This window comes from Homo sapiens, chromosome 9, assembly GCF_000001405.40.
Source record: "Homo sapiens chromosome 9, GRCh38.p14 Primary Assembly".
Taxonomy (NCBI): domain Eukaryota; kingdom Metazoa; phylum Chordata; class Mammalia; order Primates; family Hominidae; genus Homo; species Homo sapiens.
Genome location: NC_000009.12, coordinates 35889891 through 35912488, shown reverse-complemented (window position 1 = coordinate 35912488; position 22598 = coordinate 35889891). Strand labels below are relative to the sequence as shown.

General features: G+C 46.3%; 2 protein-coding genes and 1 long non-coding RNA gene across 4 annotated transcripts, besides 4 other annotated features; 1 reads left to right on the top strand and 2 right to left on the bottom strand.

Annotated features, from left to right (window-relative positions):
* Positions 1-802: 802 nt before the first annotated feature.
* SPAAR (small regulatory polypeptide of amino acid response) lies at positions 803-2999 on the bottom strand. The gene is made up of 2 exons (NM_001348107.3): positions 2925-2999; positions 803-2332 (listed from the first exon to the last, which is right to left on the bottom strand). Exon 2 carries the CDS (start codon positions 2023-2025, stop codon positions 1798-1800), a length of 228 nt encoding a protein of 75 aa, NP_001335036.2. The 5' UTR covers positions 2026-2332; positions 2925-2999; the 3' UTR covers positions 803-1797.
* Positions 1364-1443: a silencer, noted in NCBI's record as "silent region_19884". NCBI's record gives its function as "represses an Ori minimal core promoter by ATAC-STARR-seq in GM12878 lymphoblastoid cells {active_cell/tissue: GM12878}" and the evidence as "EXISTENCE:reporter gene assay evidence [ECO:0000049][PMID:35858748]".
* Positions 1447-2327: an enhancer, noted in NCBI's record as "H3K4me1 hESC enhancer chr9:35910159-35911039 (GRCh37/hg19 assembly coordinates)". NCBI's record gives its function as "activates a minimal SCP1, AML or CMV promoter by ChIP-STARR-seq in naive H9 embryonic stem cells {active_cell/tissue: H9 hESC(naive)}" and the evidence as "EXISTENCE:reporter gene assay evidence [ECO:0000049][PMID:30033119]".
* Positions 3000-5352: 2353 nt separating the features above from the next.
* HRCT1 (histidine rich carboxyl terminus 1) lies at positions 5353-6287 on the bottom strand. Its single transcript, NM_001039792.2, has one exon. It carries the CDS (start codon positions 6199-6201, stop codon positions 5854-5856), a length of 348 nt encoding a protein of 115 aa, NP_001034881.1. The 5' UTR covers positions 6202-6287; the 3' UTR covers positions 5353-5853.
* Positions 6740-7621: an enhancer, noted in NCBI's record as "H3K27ac-H3K4me1 hESC enhancer chr9:35904865-35905746 (GRCh37/hg19 assembly coordinates)". NCBI's record gives its function as "activates a minimal SCP1, AML or CMV promoter by ChIP-STARR-seq in naive H9 embryonic stem cells {active_cell/tissue: H9 hESC(naive)}" and the evidence as "EXISTENCE:reporter gene assay evidence [ECO:0000049][PMID:30033119]".
* On the top strand, positions 6819-13219 carry LOC124902149 (uncharacterized). 2 transcript variants are annotated; one of them, XR_007061472.1, is made up of 4 exons: positions 7320-7622; positions 7914-8121; positions 9000-9051; positions 13104-13219. It is a non-coding gene; the product is annotated as an uncharacterized LOC124902149 (long non-coding RNA). The 2 variants fall into 2 exon arrangements; XR_007061471.1 differs by having other exon boundaries at positions 6819-8121.
* Positions 16600-17099: an enhancer, noted in NCBI's record as "H3K4me1 hESC enhancer chr9:35895387-35895886 (GRCh37/hg19 assembly coordinates)". NCBI's record gives its function as "activates a minimal SCP1, AML or CMV promoter by ChIP-STARR-seq in naive H9 embryonic stem cells {active_cell/tissue: H9 hESC(naive)}" and the evidence as "EXISTENCE:reporter gene assay evidence [ECO:0000049][PMID:30033119]".

Sequence of the window (22598 nt, the reverse complement as noted above, 5' to 3'; positions counted from 1 at the left end):
TTTAATTAGCTAGGCACGGTGGCATGCACCTATAGTCCCAGCCACTCAGGAGGCGGAGGTGGGAGGATTGACTGAGCCCTGGAATTTGAGGCTGCAGTGACCTATGATCACACGACTGCACTCTGGCCCAGGTGGCAGAGTGAGATCCCATCTCCTAAAATAAAATAAAATAAAATAAAATAAAATAAAAATAATAAAATAGGAAGGGCTTCAAGACCTGCCTCAGCTGCAGAGAGCTGCCCTGGCTGAGGTCAGACCCTGGGAGAGGGGAGAGGGACTCAGAGACGGAGCAAAGGTGGGGATATGAAGGACCTGCATCACGGTTTGACTTCTTCCTCTGCCCAATCCTGCTTCTTCCTTCTCCCCTTTGTAGGTGTTGATCCCTGACAAATATCTTGCACCCGAACTTTGTCTCACTGTTCGCTTTTAGAGAACACAGCCCTCAAAAGTTCTCTTCCCTCCGTCTCCAGGGCCTCCCCACATGTGCCGTTCCCTTCTCTGTGCATCTCTGAAGGCCCTGCGTCGAGGGCTGGTGTCAGGAGTGTCCAGGACATGGTCCCAGGAGCTCCTGGACCTGGGCTGAGCCTCGCCCACCATGCTCCTCCCCATCCCTCTCCGTCAGCCTCACTCTCCCCACCACTTCCCCCTCCCCGCGTGCACCTCTCCAGCTCCAAGCCACTCTGAAAGCCCTTCCCATGGCAGCCACATGGCAAGGGCAGCCTGTCTGGACACCCTTAGAGGCCAGAGCCCCCCTAAAGCTCAGTCCTGCCCCCCTCAACAAACAGGTCCTGGGAGAGCCATCTATTCAGGGCTGGATACAGACATAAGAGCCAGGAGGCTCACAATTTTGCACCCTTCAAACCAAACTCCTTAAATATAGCATGGCATTTATTCCATGGCCATGGGAGAATGGGTTTTCTGTTAATAAAAACTGAATATCCCCTTATTTGTGATGAAAACAAGAGCTTTGAATGTAACATAACATTTTAACTTGTCTGGAATTATCTTTCAGTTCCTGATTTTTCTGTCACTCCGAAGTGACACAAGTCATTCACATTCTCTAAGAATAGGAGTGACCTGTTGGAATATAGCAATAAAGTCTCATTAAAAATATGTTTAAAATATCTTATTTCTGGCTTTCCTGTTAATAAAACATATTGTACTTTCTGTGGCTCTTATTTTCTCTTCTGTTTCCTTTTGTGGTTTTTCTAATCAGATTTGGAAAGGCCCATAAAAGGATATACATTTTCAATTCTAAGGTAAATAACTTGTTCTCAGGAAGCAGCTCTTTGGTTTCAGAATTTCAGGGCTGATTTCAGGCAACTGGCAGGGAGCAGGCCTCGAGGTTGGGTTCTGTGCAATGTGCAAAAGTAATCAATTAGGAGCAAGTAAGAAGCGGTTTCTAGAAATGTCCACTTGAGGGTGCTGCGTGCCCAGGTGGCAACAGAACCAGCATCATAGGCACACCGTTTACAATAAATTCCAGTGATATTTCAGTTCCTGGTGTAGATCAGCAGAGCCGGCCCACCGTGCACTCCGGCGCTGTCTGTTCACTCACTCCTCAGAGCTCTCCTAAGCCCCATCCTGTGGGTCAACCCCAGCTGGGCTGTCCCAATAACAAGGATCCCTGAGGCTGGAGGGCACAGAAGGCTGGAATGGGAGGAGACGGGAAGTTCACAGGTTACTGGAGGGGAAGGACAGGGAGAAGGCCCTGGGAGGAGGGGAAGGCCAGGGAAGGCTTGCTGAGGAGCGGGTGAGTCTGACCCATCAGCACAGCAAATCCTGGGGACTCGGGCGTCACATGAAGGTCCAGAAGTCCTGGGCACTTGGCACTGGCTGGGCATGGCGAACAGGCCCCGTGAAGAGAGAAGCTTCCTGGCGAAACGTGGCCACCGTGAAGCTGCGGCCAGGACCCCCCTGAGGATCCTGGGCCCTTGAGTCACAGCTGAAGCAGCAGAGGACGCAGGTGATGGCCACAGTCACCACGAACAGCACCACCACCACCCCAATCACTGCCGTTTCCATGGCCCACTGAGCAACCTTAGGTCCTCTCGGAGCCTTCGCTCCCATCCAGAACAGGAGGCTCTTCGCGATCGCAGGTGCCCCGTGCTCCTCCGGCGGCTCTCCTTCCGTCTCCTAAGAAGATGCTGCTCTGAGTCCCTGGGTCGCTCCTGCTCCAGGCCTTCGGGCGCTGCCACGTGGCCCCACTGCTGAAATCTCAGATGATCTCTGTCTATTTTCTAAGCCTCAGGCCATGCCTCCAAGAGCTGTGGTCAGCTCCATGTCAGCTTCTAGAAGAAGCACTGTCCTGGAAGACGTGAGCACAGATTCCCTGGACACAGAGAAGGTGGAGAGGAGGGGTCAGAAGACGTTGCACAGAGACAGCCTAGCCAGCGCTGGCCCTCCGGTGACGCCTACAGATTTCAAGAGCAAGTTACGCCCAGACCAAAGACAAAATACTCCCCCTACTATGGATGCAGGAGGAGCCCGGCTCCTCCCCAGGAGGGACCTTGGGCCAGTCCTTCAATTGGCCTATCTGCTGCCTCCCCAGCCCCTGGCCCTGTGCTGGGGGCAGGGACATGAGGAGGGAGGAAGGCATGCGCCAGCTCTGGGCAAGGCAGGGGACACTCACGGGTCACCCCAGGTGCCAGGGCCTTTAGTGGGGGCTGGAGGCAGGGGCAGGTTGCATTTGGCGTCCTTTTCTGCATGGCGCTGGGATCATGCAGTTTAGATAGAGTATCAGGTGCTTCCCCGGGAATCCCTGCCCTGTCCATGACCGTGGGGCTCTTTACCCGGAGGTCCCGGAAGAGCCTTCTTAGATGCCGGCCTCACCCACCCTCTTTGCTGCCTGCTTAGCCCGTTGCTCACATTCTTGAACTATTAAGATTTACCCTGGGCTCCCCAAAGGCCAGCCCTGGCTGTACCTGGTGCTGCAGCCTCCTGGCCTGGTGGCCGTCCCAGGGACCACGGCGTTCCTCCCTGGGTGCTGCAGCCTCTGTCCTGGTTGGAACTTGGCTCCGAGATGTCTGAGCAGCTGTGAGCACTTCCTGAATTCTTTCCTCCAATTGTGAGCGAGGGCCCAGGACCCACACTGCAGCCCTCCAACCCCCGCTCAGCAGTTATCCCGTCCCGCCATGCGCACCCCAGGCCTTTTCCACCCTCCTCCCTGCCAGGAGGTCAGGGGAATAAGCTAGGCCCAGGCAACTGAGTTAGTCTGCCAGGTGAGAGCCCTTTCACACCCAGCACCTCCTGAGACCCCCACCACTTCCAGAAAGGAGACTGGGCTATTAGCCCCACTTTGTCCATATTCTGGGAAACAGAGTAGTGAGAACAATAACTCCAGGCATGGGACCTCACCAGACATGATCTCATATAACCTCCCCAGCAACCCTGCATAGCGATATAGCCTCCATTTTATAGAAAAAGATCCTATGGTCATAGAAGTTAAATGACCTGCCCCCCATTCTGAATTAGCCATGTTAACAGGCACGAGCAATGGCCGAGGAGGGACCGCCCTCCCTCCACTCCTAGCTCAGTGCACTTTCCAGTTACCATGGGACCACAGAGCGACCATCTGATTCTGCGGTTTTAATGATCTGGGTGCAAAGTGCCAGAAAGGGCAGAGGGCTGGCCCAAGTTCACATAGCCTGGGTCCTTTTCAGTTTCTCCAAGGCCCAAGGGAACTTTCTTTAGTATCAGCATTAGGAAACTGGCACTTTGCACAGAATGGGAGAGCAACTTTTCAGAGCAAACGATAGCCTGTCATATTCTCAATCTGTCCCTTTTCTGAGATGATGAGACCATCTGGGCCCTGGGCTCCTCCTCCACATGGAGCAGGCTGTGGGCCATGACAGGAAGCCAATTCCTTGGATTGTTTGTATTAACTGGGATGACCAGGAGGAAGGAGACGACGGGCTGATCTGCAGGGCCTGTGGTTTCAGGTTGAGTTACCAACATCACCTCCTTAACTGGGGTGATAGAGGGCACCAGGAGACTATGCCTCAAGCTTTAACATTTGTTCCTTTGATTTCTCATCGCCTATTCTTCCTGTGTACACGCAGCCATAGGCCGCCTGCAGATTGTCTGAGTGGTTCCGCATTTTTGAACTGGAATAAAGGGCAATTGCTCAGCGGGTTCTCTCCTGCCCTGCATAGGCTTCCTTTTCCGTTTCCTGCTTTCGGGGAACCTCCTCCCCATCTTTGATTCATCTGTGAAATCAGCCTGGAGATGCCTGGGAAAGGGGCAGGGCTGCAGGGAGCAGGCTGGCAGGAATCCAGGAGGGGGATGGAGGGGGCTGGGCTAGGCAGGGCATGGGAATGGAGAAGGGGGTGGATTTGAAGGACACTGCAGAGAAAATCGACACTGCACGGCAGCCTAGGGTCAACTTTCCCAACCCAGAAACCTCAGGTGGGAGAAATCAGTGTGAATTTGCCTCCCTCTCTCTCTCACTCCCTCCTCCTGCAGCCCTCACAGAGAATCCACTGGGAAATAGAAAGGAAAGAGGACATTCTATTCCAGTGAGTCACCAGGTCCCTGAGTCTCTGGCCTGCTCTCCAGCCCCTCCCCACTGCCTCTCCTGGCCCCCAGTCCTTGTCTTCCCCCAATTCCCACCTCAGCTCACAGGCACAGGCTGAAGGCCTCAGAGCCAGGCTTCCTTCCTCGCTGTGGATCCCACTAGCTGTTCACAGAGCATATTCCAACGAGCCTCCAGGCTTCGGCACGTGGGCATCTCTGTTATCCACCCCATTGCAGAGAAGAGGAAAGTGAGACCCCAGCATTCTCCCAAGGCCATCCAACACCCTGCACCCCAGCACCACAGCCTCCACTTTAAAGAACTCCACTCGCTGCCTCCCAGCCCTCCCACCACACACAGGCACCAGCTGGGGCAGGATGGCTGAAAACGCAAGGCTTGGAGAAGAAACCCTGATCCAATTACCAAGGAAACTGGATTCAAGGCAGCCTGTGGATGGGGCTTCCTCGAGTTTCAGAGCTCAGTCTGCCCTGGACATGGGCTGAAAAAAGTACAGGGGCAGAGCCCTGGGGAGCCAGGCTCGCAGCGGCTCCAACCTTCCTCTCCCCGAGGACTGTCCCGCGGAAGGCCAGAGCCCTGCTGGTGCACACAGGACCTGCTGTGGGCAGGGTTTTGTGCAAACCCTGAATCCTCCCTCAGAGCTCAGACAGAGCCCACCCAATTCTTCCCACTCCACAACCAGCCCCTAAGAACCAGACAGAAGCCGCCTGCTCCAGCCACACGCTTCCCATCAGAGAGGGAGGTCCCAGGGCAATGAGGACACAGGCCAGGCAGCTCCCTCCCTCCCACTATGCTGCAATCAAGAGCCTCTTCACAAAAGCTTCTTAGTGGTTTTTATTTTCTTGGACTAAGGCACCGATGAATTGACTGTGCAGCCTCACACTGCCTTCTCCAAACCAAAAGGACATTCTCAGGGCCTCTCCCAGTGCCCTGCCCGCCAGAGGCCTGCAGCAGCCTGATGAGGAGGTCAAGACGGGCACTTCACATCCACTTGTGTGCTGGCTCTGCCAAGACACGCTTGTCATTTCTGGGGCTCACTGGGAGTCACTGTCACAAGACGGGCTGTCCAGCCCCGAAAGAGCACCCTTGCTCTCCACTCCCCAAACCCTTCAGCACTGCAGACCCAGTGTTCCTCCATTCTCTGCTGCCATAGTACACTGGGGCATGCCATGCAAATGCAGCTGGAGCAAGCCCCAGTCTATTGTTCCCCTCGTTCACCCCAGAGATGCATCCTTCCACATGGAAACATGGGGTCCACTTGTCCTGGGAACAGATGGGAGGGCAGGGGCAGCTGCTGTCCACAGGCACCGGCGACAGCAGCCTCAGCGAGCGTGGCGGGGATGGTGGCGGTGGGGGTGGTGGTGGTGGTGGAGGTGGTGAGGGGTGTGGCGGGGGTGGTGGTGGTGGTGGAGGCCCACATTCGGCACATGAGATACGTGGCCAGGATGACGGTGATGGTGAAAGATTCCCAGGTGGCCCCGCCGCCGGAAGGGCCAAGGCTGGGCCCGGCGGACTCGGTTTCCCCCTGCAGCTGTACGGTTCCTCTCCACGTCACAGTCCTGCCGTCCGTGGAAAAGGCAGGTGGCCAGCAGCAGCAGCAGCAGCAGGACCGCCACAGCAGCACCTGTGATCCATCCCACGAGGGCTGTGCTCCCCAGGAGGCCCAGCATCTGGGAGCCGGACAGTCCCTCTCTGCCCAGCAGCTCCTCACTCCTTTCTCCCCTTCAGCAGCCTCCGCTCAGCCCTCTCAGTCACTGAACTTTGTTGTCTCTGCTGCGGGCTGGAGAGCAGCCAGGGAATGTGGGCGAAGCCTGTTTGGACTTGCAACTGCTGGCCAAGGGTGAGGCCAGGCCGCTGTTAACTCTGAGGAGGCCTGGCAGGGAGGCCAGGTGGAGACAGAGGAGCTGTCAGGCTGGATCTGGTTGAGGGAGGAGCCCTGAGTCTAGAGGAAAGAAACCCTCCTGCTGCCTGGCTCAGTGACCTTCCCTCTCCGCACTTCAGTCTCCTCTCGTAGAGACTGTGTAGAACAGAGATGAACAACACGGGCTTTGGAGCCACGCCACTCACTTGCTCTGAGATTGTGCACAAGTTACTTAACCTCTCTGTCCTGTTTCCTCTTCTGTAAAATGGCTGATAACGGTTCCTTCCTCAGTAGGGTGTTCCGAGGACTAAAGGAGTTGAGATGCGTAAAGCAGCAACACCAGCTCCCGTCATGTTTGCAACTGATATTACTGCAATGGACTCCATGGCTCAGGAGACACTGACATCTGAGAGTCTGTGATTCCCTGTCCTGCAGCCTGCAGAGCCCTCCGGGGCTGAGTCAGGCTCTGTCAGATGAGCCATCCCGAGCTCAATGAGCTTGAGAAGCTCAGGGAGGCACCACAGGCAGATTTTGCCATCCAGGGAGGTCCTCCATCCGGCCTGTTCTGGGAGGCAGGAGGGTCTGGGTGTCCTCCCAAGCTTGCTGGGAGGCAAGAAGGAGGCCACTGAGCTCAGAGAGGGCAGGCACAGCCCAGCCTCCTGGTTCCCAGTTCAACAGTCTCAACTGGCCATAAATGGCATGCTCCTTGCTCTGTCACACCCTCCCTGCCCAGCAGTGATGAGTGCCATTCCTGCCTAGTGGAGCATTTACAGAGCGGCAGGATCTGAGCAGTACTGACTGTCCCTCCAAGCCCACCCGCCAGGCCCAAATCCCCTCTGTTCCTCCTGGGAGGCACCGTCCCATCCTGCTGACAGACCTCAGCAACAGGTGCTCACTCTCTCTCTGGGCAACCCTTTCTGCTGTGGGCATGCTGGGCTGTTCTCCAAGCTCTTCCTCACATGCAGTGGGGCTCCCCAAAGCCCCAGCTCTGTGTCTGGCTCTGCAGGGTCCCTCCAGGCTGAGTCCCCAGCCCCTCCCTCCAGGCTCATCTCCCTACCGCCTGGAGGAATGTCTGCAGACACCGCAAGGCTGGTTCTCTGAGTTCTGGCAGCACCTCCACCCTGTGATGTTGGGCAAACCCCTTGCCCTGATCCAGCCTGTCTCCTCTGCAGAACTCCCGGAGCAAGAGGTGACCTCCAGGGACCCTTCCCCCTCTGACCTCAGTCTGAGGTGAGTTCTCTTAGGGAGGCCTCAAACCCTTAATGAAAACCCTCACCAGATGAAAAGGCTAAACATTCCCTTCAACCAAACTGGGCTCAGGGGGCAGCAGGTCTAATGAATCCTGGCACTTCTTTGGCCCTTGGGGGAGCTACTTGAACTTTTAATGATGCTGGAGTAAGAACTCCTCCTGCAGACTCCTGGGGCCCTGGGAGCCCGGCTGCCTTCCCTAGGGAAGTTAAGGAGGGAAGTCTGTTGTGAGGAGGAGGAGGAGGAAGGCAAACAGGGGATTTTCGTCCTCAGAACTTCTCCAGGAAGACTCCCACCCCACACCAGCCGCTGGCGGCGGGGCAGGACCTTACAACTATGAACTTGAAGAACTTCAGTCAGCTCAAACGGCCCCTTGGAATCACCCAGACTCAGCCTTCACTGACAGATGGAGAAACTGAAGCCAGAGAAGGGAAACACTTGCCTAAGTTCTCCCAGCCTCGTGCGCTAATCTATACAGCAGGTACTCAACAGAGCACCATCCCTGCAGTGAGGGAGCCGTCCAGAGTGACAGCCTGAGATCAGCAGGGCCTTCCACAGAGACAGCGGGAAGATGAGGTGGAGATGTGAATAAACCTGGAGGGCGCAGGGGTTGGGAGTGCCCCCTCACACATACACATACACACGACATCTGTTTCCTTAGGTGCAGGTTCACTCTCCATCTGGGTAGTAGGATCCCAAAGTGAACATTTGTTTAGATGCTTTGGGCACTCCTGGGGGCAGTGAGGGACAGCCATTGAGAATACAGTCCTCCATGACTTAACCCATTTATGCCTAAGGTTGCAATTTTTTGAATTTTTGCAATCAGACCTTGGCAATGACCTTGATCAGTATGATAAAAATAACTCCCACATGCTTAGTGTTCCAATAATGGAACACTAGGCATAAATGTTAAGAAGTGACACAGCCAGGTGCAGTAGCCTGTAATCACAGCATTTTGGGAGGCTAAGAGGGGTGGATCATTTGAGCCCAGGAGTTCAAAACCAGCCTGGGCAACATGGCGAAACCCTGCCTCTATAAAAAATACAAAAGATTAGCTGAGCATGGTGGCACATGTCTATAATCCCAGCTATTCAGGAGGCTGAGGCAGGAGGGTTGCTTGAGCCTGGGAAGTTGAGACTGCAGTGGACTGAGATCACACCATTGTGCTCCAGCCTGGGCAACACAGCAAGACCCAGTCTCAAAAAAAAAAAAAAAAAAAAAGAAGTGACAGAGACCTTCTTGGAGGCTTGACTGTATACTGTACATGAGGGTTTGCAAGACTGATAACTTTAAGGACACTGTGGCTGTGTTTCCGGATCCCCCGCTTCAGAAAAGCTTGTCATTGTATTTCTTCCTCAGGGTTGGGACTTCCTAGCCAAGGAATGGGAGTTCTAGACCACACAGCTGATGGGTAAGCTTTTTGAAACTCATATTATTTAGCTTCGTGCCCATACTTTCCAGGGTACACAGACTCATGCACATGCTTGTAAATCAACATTGCTCTGTGGGAAAACTTATACACCAATAACTGTGTGTGCACACGCTCATGCAAATATGCACAGGTGAATACAAGTTCCAGACAACTCACAAATATGTGCTTGTAGTAGCTGCAGGTGGTTCTTGGAAGTCCAGCCATAGCAACCACATTGTTTTCACTAATTGGTGGCACCACCTAGTGGTGACACTGTAAATAAATCAGTTTTGTATTCTGACCTGTCAAAAGTTACAGTATCTGATGGTTGTTTACAGATCATAATTTGGACCCGTGCATTTAAATCCTCCCTATTCCAAATTCCTATTGAAACAGACAAAGAGATAAAAATCCTATTCCACTCTAGAAATCAGTAAAAAAAATCACATTACTGGCCCATAAACTTCAAGGAATTTCAACAAGATACAGTGCAAATAGAACCAGGCTGATGAGTATATTGACTAAAGAAGGACATTCCTGGGAAATAATGGAGGATACGCCCCAGGAGAGTCTCCCTAAAGCCCCGTAATAGACAGCCAGGACTAGGAAAAAGGCTGAGATGGGGATAAGCGGGAAAAAAACTGAGCAACCTTGGGAATTGCGAGTGCCTGCTCGCAGAGAAGGTGGCCAAGGCTCAGCTCCTCTTTTGGTTTGCACAGAAAAGCAAGGACATTGGCCAGCAGGTTTCTAACCCAGGTGCTCATGCCAGTTAGAGAAGGGGGGACATTCTTCCAGCCGACCTTGAACTGCCTCAACAAACAGTGAGAAGAAGTTGCGCAGCAGAACAGCAAACTTCTCTCCTCTTCTCAGAAGCTCTTCCTGCCCTAATCATGGTCGATTGGATCTCCCAATCTAGAAAACTAAACTATAAATATTCCATGTTTCTTCTTTTCCCATTGCCTGGAACCAACACGTTTGAAAATGATCTACATATCTTTTAGAATACCCATTTCAAATCTCAATTCCAAACAAATGTAGATCTAGGTCCCTCCATAAAGTGAGCAAATATATGATAATTTCTAGACATACGAAAAAAGATGTAAGTTATTATATCTTTATCATTAGGGTTACTAGAATCTAAGAAACAAAAACAGTAAAATTCTGTAATTTATACTGTAAATAGAATTCCAAAAGTCAACCCATATATGAATATGGAAAATATGCAAAAACAGGAAATTTATTTTCCAATTAAAAACCAAATCTGGAAAGATTGCTTTGAGAACTTTCCCTATAACTCAGAAATAAATAAATAAATAAAGAGGCTAAAAGAGAGAGAAAGAAAAGAAAGATCCAGAAATCAAATATACCTATATAATAGGCATTCCAGAAATAGAGAATAGAGCCCGTGGAGAAACAATCATTAAAGAAATATAAAGAAAATTTCCTGACTTGAAGAATTAACTCTTTAGATCAAAAAGTGACTTAGTACTCAGCAAACTATCTATCTATCTGTCTATCTATCTATCTATCCATCTATCTATTTAGAGACGGGGTCTCATTCTGTCAACCAGGCTACAGTGCAGTGGCACAATCACAGTTGGCTCACTGCAGCCTCGACCTCCTGAGCTCAAGTGATCCTCCAACCTCAGCCTCTCAAGTAGCTGAGACTACAGGCGGATCCCATCATGCCGGCTAATTTTTTAAAAATTTTTTGTGGAGACAGGGTTTTGCCATGTTGTCCAGGCTGGTCTTGAACTCCTGGGTTCAAGCAATCCTCCCAACTTGGCCTCCAAAGTGCTGTGATTATAGGCGTGAGCCACCACGCCCCGCTAAAGAAACTATTTAAAGAGGCCAGATCATCTAGTTATATCCAGGTGAAATTTTAACTTTAAAACAATAAAGAGAAACCAAATGGTACAACCATCATGGAAAACACTTTGAATTTTCATATAAAACTAAACACACTCTACCAGCTGTTTACTGATTCCGACTGTTTACCAGCAATCACACTCCTTGGAATTTACCCAAATTAGCTGAAAACTTGTGTTCACACAAAAATCTGCATGCTTATAGCATGTTTATAGCAACTTTATTCATAATTGACAAAACTTGGAAGCAACTGAAATGCCCTTCAGCAGGTGAATGGATAAATAAACTGTGGTACACCAGACAATGGAACATCATTTAGCACTAAAAAGAAATGAACTCTCAAGCCATGAAAGAACATGGAGGAAACTTAAATGCATATTGCTAAGTGAAAGAAGCCAATCTGAAAAGGCTACATATGTGTGATTCCGACTATTTAACATTCTGGAAAAGGCAAAACTATGGAGATAGTAGAAAGATCAGTGGTTGCCAGGGGCTGGAAGGAGGCAGGAGGTAGAGCACAGGGAATTTTTTAGGGCAGTGAAACTATTCTATAAAACACTATGATGGTGGATACGTGTTATTTCAAAATTTGTCAAAATCCATAGAATGTACAACACCAAGAGTGAACCCTAACGTGAACGATGGCCCTTGGGTGATGATGTGTCAACATAGAGTAGATTACAACAAATGTACCTCTGTGTTGTGGAACGCTGATAATAGCGAAGGGGGGATTCATATGGGAAATCTCTGTAGCCTCCACTCAAATTTCCTGTGAACCTAAAACTGCTCTAAAAAATAAAGTCTACTTTTTTAAAAAACAAAAGGGGTAAATAAAATAATCCTACAAACCACAACAGGAGCTGTTTGAACTGTTTCAAAAAATAAAGAGACCTTTTTTTATTTTTTAAATTCATATAACTTACTTTATAAAACTAGCATAACCCTGATACCAAACCTAACAATCATAGCACAAAAACACTACAAATCTCAGAATTCTTTTTTTTTTTTTTTTGAGATGGAGTCTCGCTGTGTCGCCCAGGTTGGAGTGCAGTGACGCAATCTCGGCTCACTGCAACCTCCACCTCCCGGGTTCAAGCGATTCTCCTGCCTCAGCATCCTGAGTAGCTGGGACTACAGGCGTGTGCCACCACACCTGGCTAACTTTTTGTATTTTTAGTAGAGACGGGGTTTCACTGTGTTAGCCAAGACGGTCTCGATCTCTTGACCTCGTGATCCGCCTGCCTTGGCCTCCCAAAGTGCTGGGATTACAGGCGTGAGCCACCGCGCCCGTCCCAAATATCAGAATTCTAACAAATTAATATTATATCCCAGAACATTGGGAGACGAATACTCCATAAAATAAATTTATTCTAGGAATGTGAGGGTGGTTTCATGTTTTAAAAATATGTTGTAATTAATTACATTAATATGTTAAAAAAGTAAAACCATATAATCATCTCAACAAATGTCAAAAAGTATTTAATAAAATTCACTATGCATTCCTGATAAATACAGGGATACCTCATTTTTATTGTGCTTCACAGATATTGCTTTTTTTTTTTTCTTTTTACATATTGAAGGTTTGGGCTGGGCTCAGTGACTCATGCTTGTAATCCCAGCATTTTGGGAGGCTGAGGCAAGTGGATCACTTGAGGACAGGAGTTTGAGACCAGCCTGTCCAACATGGTGAGGCCAACCCCATCTCTACTAAAAATACAAAAATTAGCCAGGCATGGTGGCTTGCACCTGTAATCCCAGCTACTCAGGAAGCTGAGGCACAAGAATTACTTGAACCCGGGAGGTAGAGGTAGCAGTGAGCTGAGATTGCACCACTGCACTCCAGCCTGGGTGACAAGAGTGAGACTCTGTCTCAAAAATAAACAAAAACAAATTGAAGGTTTGTGGCAACCCACTTTGAGCAAGTCTGTCGACACTATTTTCCAACAGCATGTGCTCACTTCATGTCCCTGTGTCAAACATTTTAGTAATTCTCACAATATTTCAAATGTTTTCATTATTATTACATCTGTTATGGTGACCTGTGATCAGTGATCTTTGATGTTACTACTGTAATTGTTTCGGGGCACCATGAACTGCGCCCATATAATATTATTCAATAAATGTTGTGTGTGTTCTGGCTGCTTCACTGACTAGCCTTTCCTCCATCTCTCTTCCTCTCCTAGGGTTTTCCTATTCCCTAAGACACAACAATATCAAAACAAAGCCAATTAATAATCCTACAATGGCCTCTAAATGCTCAGTGAAAGGAAGAGTCACATCTCTCACTTTAAATCAAAAGCTAGAAATTATTAACCTTAGTGAGGAAGGCATATCGAAGGCCAAGACAGGCTGAAAGCAAAGCCTCTTGCACCAAGCAGTTAGCCAACTTGTGATTGCAAAGGAAAAGTTCCTGAAGGAAATTAAAAGTCCTACTCCAGTGAACACATGAGTGACAAGAAAGCGAAACAGCCTTATTGCTGATATGGAGAAAGTTTGAGTGGTCTGGATAAAAGATCAACCAGCCACAACATTCCCTGAAACCAAAGCCTAATCCAGAGCAATACCCTAACCCTCTTTAATTCTATGGAGGCTGAGAGAGGCGAGGAAGCTGCAGAAGAAAAGTTGGATGCTAGCAGAGGCTTAAGGAAAGAAGCCAAATTCATAACATAAAAGTACAAGGAGAGGCAGCACTTGGACTTTTGTGACGTTGAAGCTACAGCAAGTTATCTAGAAGGTCCACCTAAAATACCTGATGAAGGTGGCTACACTAAATAACTGATTTTTAGTGTAGATGAAGTAGTCTTCTATTGGAAGAAGATGCCATCTAGGACTTTCATAGCTAGAGAGAAGTCAATGTCTGGCTTCAGAGCTTCAAAGGACAGGCTGACTCTCTTGTTAGGGGCTATTGCAGCTGATGACTTTATGTTGAAGCCAATGCTAATTTACCATTCCCAAAATCCTAGGGCCCTTAAGAATTATGCTAAATCTACTCTGTAGATTTATAGATGCCTGTGCTCTATAAAAGAACAAACAAAGCCCAGATGACAGCACATCTGTTTACAGCATGGTTTATGGCATATTTTAAGCCCACTGTTGACACCTCCTACTCAGAAAAGAAGATTCTTTTCCAAATATTACTGCTCATTGACAATGGACCTGGTCATTTAAGAGCTCTGATGGAGATGTATAAGGAGATAAATGTTGTTTCCATGCCTGCTAACACAACTTCCATAATGCAGCTTATGAATCAAGGAGTAATTTCAATTTTCAAGTCATCTTATTTAAGAAATGCATTTTGTAAGGCTATAGCTGCTATACATAGTGATTCCTTTGATGAATCTGGGCAAAGTAATCTTTTGTGAAAGGAAGGCTTGATCAACATGGCAAAATTTATTAACAACTTATTTTAAGAAATTGCCACAGCCACCTCAACCTTCAGCAACCACCACCTTGGTCAGTCAGCAGCCATCCACGTCAAGGCAAAGTCCTCTACCAGCGAAAATATTACAAATCACTGAAAGCTCAGGTGATCATTAGCATTTTTTAGCAATAAGGTATTTGTTTTTTTGAGATGGAGTCTCCCTTTGTTGCCCAGGCTGGAGTGCAATGGCGTGGTCTCGGCTCACTGCAACCTCTGCCTCCCAGGTTCAAACGATTCTCCTGCCTCAGCCTGTGGAGTAGCTGGGACTACAGGTGCGTGCCACCACATCCGGCTAATTTTTTGTTGTTGTTGTATTTTTAGTAGAGATGGGGTTTCACTATGTTGGCCAGGCTGGTCTCAAACTCCTTACCTCATGATCTGCCCACCTCAGCCTCTCAAAGTGCTGGGATTACAGGCATGAGCCACTGCACCCAGCCAATAATGTATTTTTAAATTAAGATATGTACTTTTTAGACATAATGCTAATGCACACATAATAGACTATAGGATAGTGTAAGCATAATTTTTTATGCACTGAGAAACCAAAAAATTGGTATGACTCACTTTATTGCAGTGATTTGGAACTGAACCTGCAGTACCTCCAAGGTACTCCTGTGTTGCAAATGAGTAAAACAAAAAAAGTGTACTATTAGGAGGATACTCTTTTAACATTATTAAAAGGAAAAATATCTCAAACCAGTAGTCAACATCATGATTAATGGTGAAAAAAAATAGGCCTGTAATCCCAGCACTTTGAGATTCCTGTTGAAACCAGGAACAAGCTAGAATGCTTACTTCCACCATTTTTAGTTAGCTTAATACAATAACAATGTATAATAAAAGGTAGAAATATTAGAGATGATGTGACTACATATCTGGAAAACTTGAAAGAATATACTGGAGAACTATTAACACTAATAAGAGTTAATTTAAAAATTCAAATTTTTAAATAAAACTTAATTTAAATTTTTGACCAGGAGCAGTGGCTCATGCCCATAATCCCAGCACTTTGGGAGGCTAAGGCAGGCAGATCATTTGACTCCAGGAGTTCAAGACCACCCTGGCCAACATGGTGAAATCCCATCTCTAAATAATAATAATAATAATAATAATAATAATAATAAATTTAGATTCTAAAATTTAAAAATAAAAATACAAAATCGGTGATTTTCCTACATAACAGTAATTACTAATTCAAAGACAGAATGAAGGCATTATTGAAACTTAAAACAAAAATTATAAAACTTCTAAGAACAAACAAGAATAAACTTAACAAGAGATGTGGAAGACCAATGAACAAAAGAAAAAGCAAGTCTTCACTGACAGCTGTGAAAGAAGACCTGACTAACCGAAGCACCACACCATGTGTCTGAAAGGGAGGAGCCCGCATTATAGTCCAGGCTGCACTTCAGGGGATATGGATCCTGTGAGACTTGCAAACAACCTGCCACAAGCATCTGTTAAATAAATTCTTATATGCTATAGAGGTAATATTTTTGAAAAGTAGTAATATACTTTTTTTGAGATAGGATCTTGCTCTGTTGCCCAGGCTAGAGTGCAGTGGCATGATCAGAGCTCACTGCAGCCTCTACCTCCTCCCAAACAATCCTCCCGCCTCAGCCTCCCAAGTAGCTGGGACTCCAGGTGTGTGCCACCACGTCTGGCTAACTTTTTTATTCTTTGTAGAGACGTGGTCTCGCTATGTTGCCTAGACTGATAACCTGCTCTTTAAAGTTACTTTTCCAAATATGTAAGTTTCTTCCTAGTTGTTCCAGAGCATTTGTCTGGAGAGAGAGTTGAATTATTACAAAAAGAATGCAAGGAGAAGGACTTTAATATGCATGCAGTCTTTGACCTTCAAAATTGGACTTTGCCCTGTAAGTCAAGCCAGTTTCCTAAGAGGATTTTCCAAATTCTTTTTTCTCTCCCTTTCAACACACTGAATCAAGGACCAAACGAGGACCCAGCCCATGCAGATCTCCTATAACGTAGAAAGCTCCTCCATTCCACATGCGACAGCCATGTAGCCGAAGTTTGAAGCTCTAAGGTAGATGGAGGCCATGATATCCAGGCCTGGGAGAAGCCTGGTTCCTTCTGGCCCCAAAGGATGATGGGAAGGAGAGAGAAGAAAGGCATGAAGTGCAAAATGTGTGCAGCAGCTGCTAGGGAGCTTCAAAAACAAATGGGGAAGGCTACAGGAAGACAGGGCTAGAGGTGAATACACTGAGGCACTGATGTTATTTGGATGGGGAGTGTGGTCTGCAAAATCTAGGAATTCATGAAAATGTGACCTCATTTGTACATGCAGGGTGGTTAGTGCTGGCAATGTTTGTGTTACACCTATAAACACGCACAGACAGAAGTCTGAAGAGCTACAAGATGCAATCTTTATAGGGCTTCCTCTGAGCAGTGAGTTTGCAGGTGACTGCTTTTTATTTGGCATTTCTACATTTCTAAAACTTGCAACAATAAACATTTTACTTGTATAATAATGAAAGCAACAAAAGTTACAGCACCTTTAGAAAAATATTCAGAAGCATGCCCACCAAGTAGAACAGGTCTGCAAAGTGATCCACCTATTCACCAACGAAGAGAGCAGCTAGACCCCAGAATCATAAGCTTCATTGGTGTCATTTTAAAGATGCCAGCCAGGCGCGGTGGCTCATGCCTGCAATCCTAGCACTTTCGCAGGCCAAGGGCGGCGGATTGCCTGAGCTCAGGAGTTCGCAACCAGCCTGGGCGACACAATGAAACCCCATCTCTACTAAAATACAAAAAAATTAGCCAGGTGTGGCGGCGTGCGCCTGTAGTCTCAGCTACTCAGGAGGCCAAGGCAGGAGAATCGCTTGAACCCGGGAGGCAGAGGTTGCAGTGAGCCGAGATCGCGCCACTGTGCTCCAGCCTGGGTGACAGAGCGAGACTCTGTCTCAAAAAAAAAAAAAAAAGATGCCAACAGGTGGAAGAGGTCTCCTAGATTCACTGTCCTTGGGGATGTGTGGGAGCTGATTAATCCAAGGGGACTGCTTCTCCTGCCTTCCCTGGGCAGCATGTCCATGGGCTTTGAGACATGTATATGCAGTAAACATAGTGAACTTTCTTGAGCCTAAGTTTGCCCTCATGCACAACGAGGGAAGAACTGGAGACAGATTGAATCTGTGCAGTCTAAGATTTATTGCTCTCTGGATTTTCAAGTCTCTGTAATTTTCTGAAATCATTATCTAAAGATAATTGTGACACTTAGAATTATATTCATTGATATAACTAACATCTGTTGAACTAGACTCTGTGCCTGGTGCTGAGGCTGGGTAGAAAAAAGACAATCCATGCCTTCCAAGAGCTTTTTACCTAGGACAGGAGACAGAAATATAAATTATTACAACACACTGGGTAAATTCTGGGACCTAAATATTCACAAGGAAAGCACAAAAGGAGTCATTCATAAGCAATAATCTCCTTTCCTTTTCCTCCCCAACTATTTTAATAATTGCTAGAATAATTACACTTTACAAATGTATCTTTAGATCTCACAACAAACCTATTGTCCTCACATTACATAGGAGGCTTAGAGAGTTAAAGCTCTCACTGTTGCCCGGCATGGTGGCTCACCCCTGTAATCCCAGCACTTTGGGAGGCCAAGGTGGGTGGATCACCTAAGATCAGGAATTCGAGACCAGCCTGACCAACATGGTGAAACCCCATATCTACTAAAAATACAAAAAAATAGCTGGGTGTGTAATCCCAACTACTCAGGAGGCTGAGGCAGGAGAATCGCTTGAACCTGGGAGCAGAGGTTGCAGTGAGCCGAGATCGTGACACTGCACTCCAGCCTGGAGGATACAGTGAGACTCTGTCCCCCAAAATAACAAATAAATAAATAAAGCACCCATTCTGGGTCACGCAGTAGTAAATGACAGAGCCAGAATCAAGTGCAGACCTGTCTGACCCCAAAGCCTACCTCTAACCCAGAACAATATTGTGCTAGGCTGAGAGATGTAACCGAGTATGATGCTTCACTCAGAAAGCTTGCTCTCTGATGGGAAAGAGAAGTCATGTCTCCGAGAATCCACAGGAGAGGAAAATCAGGACACAGGCATAAGAGGATAATAAAGAGGAAAAGGAGAGAAGCTTTCAAGTTCTTTTGCCCTGAAATTTGAAAAAGCTCCTGATTAAGCTTTTGTAGAACAATGTTCAAAGAGATAATAATTTCCTGAGTGGGTTTTCAACCTGTCCTACACACATATAAAAAGAAACACTTCTAAAAAGTAGACAATAATCAAAAAATGTTATGGAGAGATGGTTGGATAGACAAATTGATATCTGATAACTGTAGCAAGTAGTTAATTATAGAGACTAGTGTTAGGTATATTCAACTGTACAATTATTTCAACCTTTCTGTGTGTTTGAAATATGTTTGAACTTTTCTCTATGTTTCAACGTTTCTATATGTTTGAAATAGAAGAAAACACACAAAAAATGTTGGGAGAAAAAAGTAGGCAATAGCTGTGGGAGAAAGTAAGTGAATAGAGCTTTCTAGTGCTGTGCAATATGGTACCTACTAGCCACTGGGCACTTGAAATGTGGCTAGTCTGAGTTCAGATTTCTGTAAGTATAATATACACTCCAGGTTTCAAAGACTTAGTACACAAAAGAATGTAAAATATGTCATCAGTAACTTTTAAATCTTGTCTACATGTTAAAATAATCGTATTTTTTATATAGTGAGTGAAATAAAATGTTATTGAAATTCATTTCAACTGTTTTGTTTTACTTTTCTAGTGTGGCTACTAGAAAATTTTAAGTTCTGTTGCTTGCGTTGTATTTCTACTGAATAGTGGCACACCTCACACCTAGATGAATCAAACGTAGTCACTGATCTCAGAGAGTAGAAGGTCTAGGTCCTGTGGACAAAACAAGCCTAAAAATCATCAGATGATTTCAGCACACTGTAATCTCAGTGACTTTCTTGCTTGTGCATGTCCACTAGGTGCATTTGGATTAGGCTTGGGGCATAACTACCTTCCTAGAGAATACTTGGAAATATGTGGGGGTATTTGGCGTTATCAGGATGACTGTGTAAGTATTTAGTGTGCAGGATCCAAGCATGACAAATATCCTTCAATGAGTGTGATGGTCCCATCGGAGGAAGACTTGTCCTGCCCAAAACATCAGTAGTGCATCTGCTGAGAAACCCAAAAGTAGAGGAAAAGTAACACTCCCCTTTCTTTCCTCTGGTTGAGGACTCTGAGGTCTGTTCTCCATCCCACATTAGGGCAATATTATTATTTCTTTTTTTTTTTTTTTAGATGGAGTCTCACTCTGTCCTCCAGGCTGGAGTGCAGTGGCGCGATCTTGGCTCACTGCAACCTCTGCCTCCCGGGTTCAAGTGATTTTCGTGCCTCAGCCTCCCAAGTAGCTGGGATTACAGGCACCTGCCACCACACCTGGCTGACTTTTTTTGTATTTTTAGTAGAGATGGGGTTTCACTATGGTTGGCCCGGCTGGTCTCGGTCTCCTGACTCAGGTGAATCACCCACCTTGGCCTCCCAAAGTGCTAGTATTAAAGGCATGAGCCACCCACATGGCCAGCAATATCATTATTTCTATGGAGTCAAGAACAAGGAACTTCTTGGGATACTGAGTCACATAATCCAATTCCATGCCTCCTTAAGGGTAGGAAAAACACCTGGGACAGTCAGGGACACCCAAGGGATTGCCTCCCAGCAGGAAACCTGTCTGATTATGGAGACTGCCAATAGCAAGTTTCAGTTAACCCAGACTAATTGGGCTGCTGGGAGGCTGTCCCCAGAGCTCAGCATGCCAGCCTCCAGCATCAGACCCTAAAGTGCCATGGTGGCAGAGCATTTCTGGGGACAGTACCCAGTGAAAATGAGTCACTTCTCTGGCCTAATCTCAGGAGCTGGAGCTATGGGAGTTGGAGAGTGTGTGGGTGTCCCGTGTAACTCAAATTGAAGGACTTGGAGTTCCCAAACCTCAGCAAATCCCAGAAAGCTTTGGTTGGGGAACAGGTAAGGGTGGGAGGACTCCAAGAGGAGAAGAGGATCACTGTCAGCTTGTGAAAAGATCAGAAATCCATTCCCAGGAGGAGGTTCAGAGGTCCGGGCAAGAGATGATGGGTACCCATGTCACAGCAGTGGCAGAGACAGCAGCAGGTGGAACAGATTTCAAATCCATATCTATTTTTGAGAGGGAATTAAAAAGACTTTCTGAGTCATTTGATGAGGAGAACTGAGGGGAAGCAGGAGCCAAGCATAATTCCTATGTATCTGGATTGGGCAACCGTGTGGTAAAACAGGCAGGAGTAACTTTTTGAGGAACTTGCCAGTGCAGGCGAAGAGAGAGATGAGGCAGCAGCTGAAGGAGAGAATTATGCCAAAGAAGATTTTTACTTTAAAGGTGCAAGAAGATTGAGCTTTATATTCTCAGTAGAGTCACCAGAGGAGAGGGTCAGGACTCACAGAATGAGGTCCCCAGAGAAGAGAGAGGAATTAGAGTCAGGGAGAGGTGGAGTAGGATGTTTTGAGGTTGATGTTTTGTCTCAGTACCCAATGTCATGAGTCTCCCGGTTTCTAGAAGCTTGACATGACCCTCCTTGGGCCTCACTTCTCTCTCTCTTTATACCCATATTAAAAAAATTTTTTTTTCTTGAGACAGGGTCTTGCTGTGTCACCCAGGCTAAGTGCAGGGGCACAATCACAGCTCACTGCAGCCTTGACCTCCCAGGCTCAAGCAATCCTCCCACCTCAGTCCCCCAAATAGCTGGGACTGCAGGTGTGTGCCACCGTGCCTGGATGTGTGTGTGTGTGTGTGTGTGTGTGTGTGTGTGTGTGTGTGTGTGTGTAGATAGGGTTTCACCATGTTGTCCAGGCTGGTCTCGAACTCCTGGGCTCAAGCGATCTGCCTGCCTCAACCTCCCAAAGTGCTGGGATTACAGGCGTGAGCCACTGCACCTGGCCAAAAAAAAAATTTTAAGCCTATGTGCTATGTACTAGAAAAGTCTGAAACACAAGACTAGTTAAAGAAAAGTGGAAAGCAAAAGGATACAAAAGATATATAATGTAGGCTGAGTGCAGTGGCTCGTGCCTGTAATCCTAGCACTTTGGGAATCTGAGACAGGAAGATCACTTGAGGCCAGGAGTTTGAGACCAGCAGTTTGAGACCAGACTGGGCAACATGCCAAGACCCTGTCTCTACAAAAAAAATTTTTTTTAATTAGCCAGGCATAATGGCATATGCCATTCAGAGTCCCAGCTACTCAGGAGGCTGAGGTGGGAAGGTTGCTTGAACCCAGGCGGTCAAGGCTGCAGTGAGCCATCTTCCTGCCACTGTACTCCAGTCTGGATGACAGAGCAAGACTCTGTCTCAAAAGGAAGAAAAAAGAAAAGAAAAGAAAGAAAGAAAAAGAAAAAAGAAATATAAGGCAAATACTAATGAAAAGAAAACTAGTATAATTATATTAATAATAAACCAAGTAAATTTTAAGGCCAAATGAGATAAAGAGAGTCTGTATGTAAATATAAAAGATAATTTCCACCAGGAAGATATACCAATTCTAGTCTCATATGCACCTAAAACATAGTCTCAAAATATGTAAAGCAAACACTTCTAGAACTATCAGGAGAATTTGACAAATTCACAATGAATAAAAAAATTCTAGCACATATCTTTAAGTAATTCAGAGCCAAAAAGTCAGCAGATATTTAGATTTAAACAAATTAATTATAAAGTTTGATAAAATGAACATATACAGGAACATTACTCTCAACAAACAAGACACACGATCGATTTTCAAGCACACAGAATATGTTTATGAAAAATGACCAGAGAGCAAGTCGTAAAGCAAGAATAAAAATGTTTTTTCCTGTTGCTGCTGTAACCAATAACAAAAAGAAAAAACTTTTTAAGGATGGATATCATACAAACCACATTCTCTGACCACAAGGAAATTACATTAGAAATTCAGCTAAAATCAATTTTAAAAATTAAAAGGTTTACACAAAAATATTATTCATTGAGAAATTAAGAAAAATACTTCTGAAATAATTAAAAGAAGTAATAATGGAAATTAGAAATTACTTGGAACCTGACAGAAACAAAATACTATATGTCAAAGCTCATAAAATTAAAATTAAATGAAATGACCATTTATATTAGGAAAAAAGAAAGTCTAGGATTTAATGAGTTTAAAAATTGAAAAAAGACCAACAGAATAAATACAGGAAAATAAAAGAAAGGAAAT

Coding starts and splice junctions, on each gene's coding strand:
- SPAAR (NM_001348107.3), bottom strand. CDS start 2,025: ATGGAAACGGCAGTGATTGGGGTGGTGGTGGTGCTGTTCGTGGTGACT.
- HRCT1 (NM_001039792.2), bottom strand. CDS start 6,201: ATGCTGGGCCTCCTGGGGAGCACAGCCCTCGTGGGATGGATCACAGGT.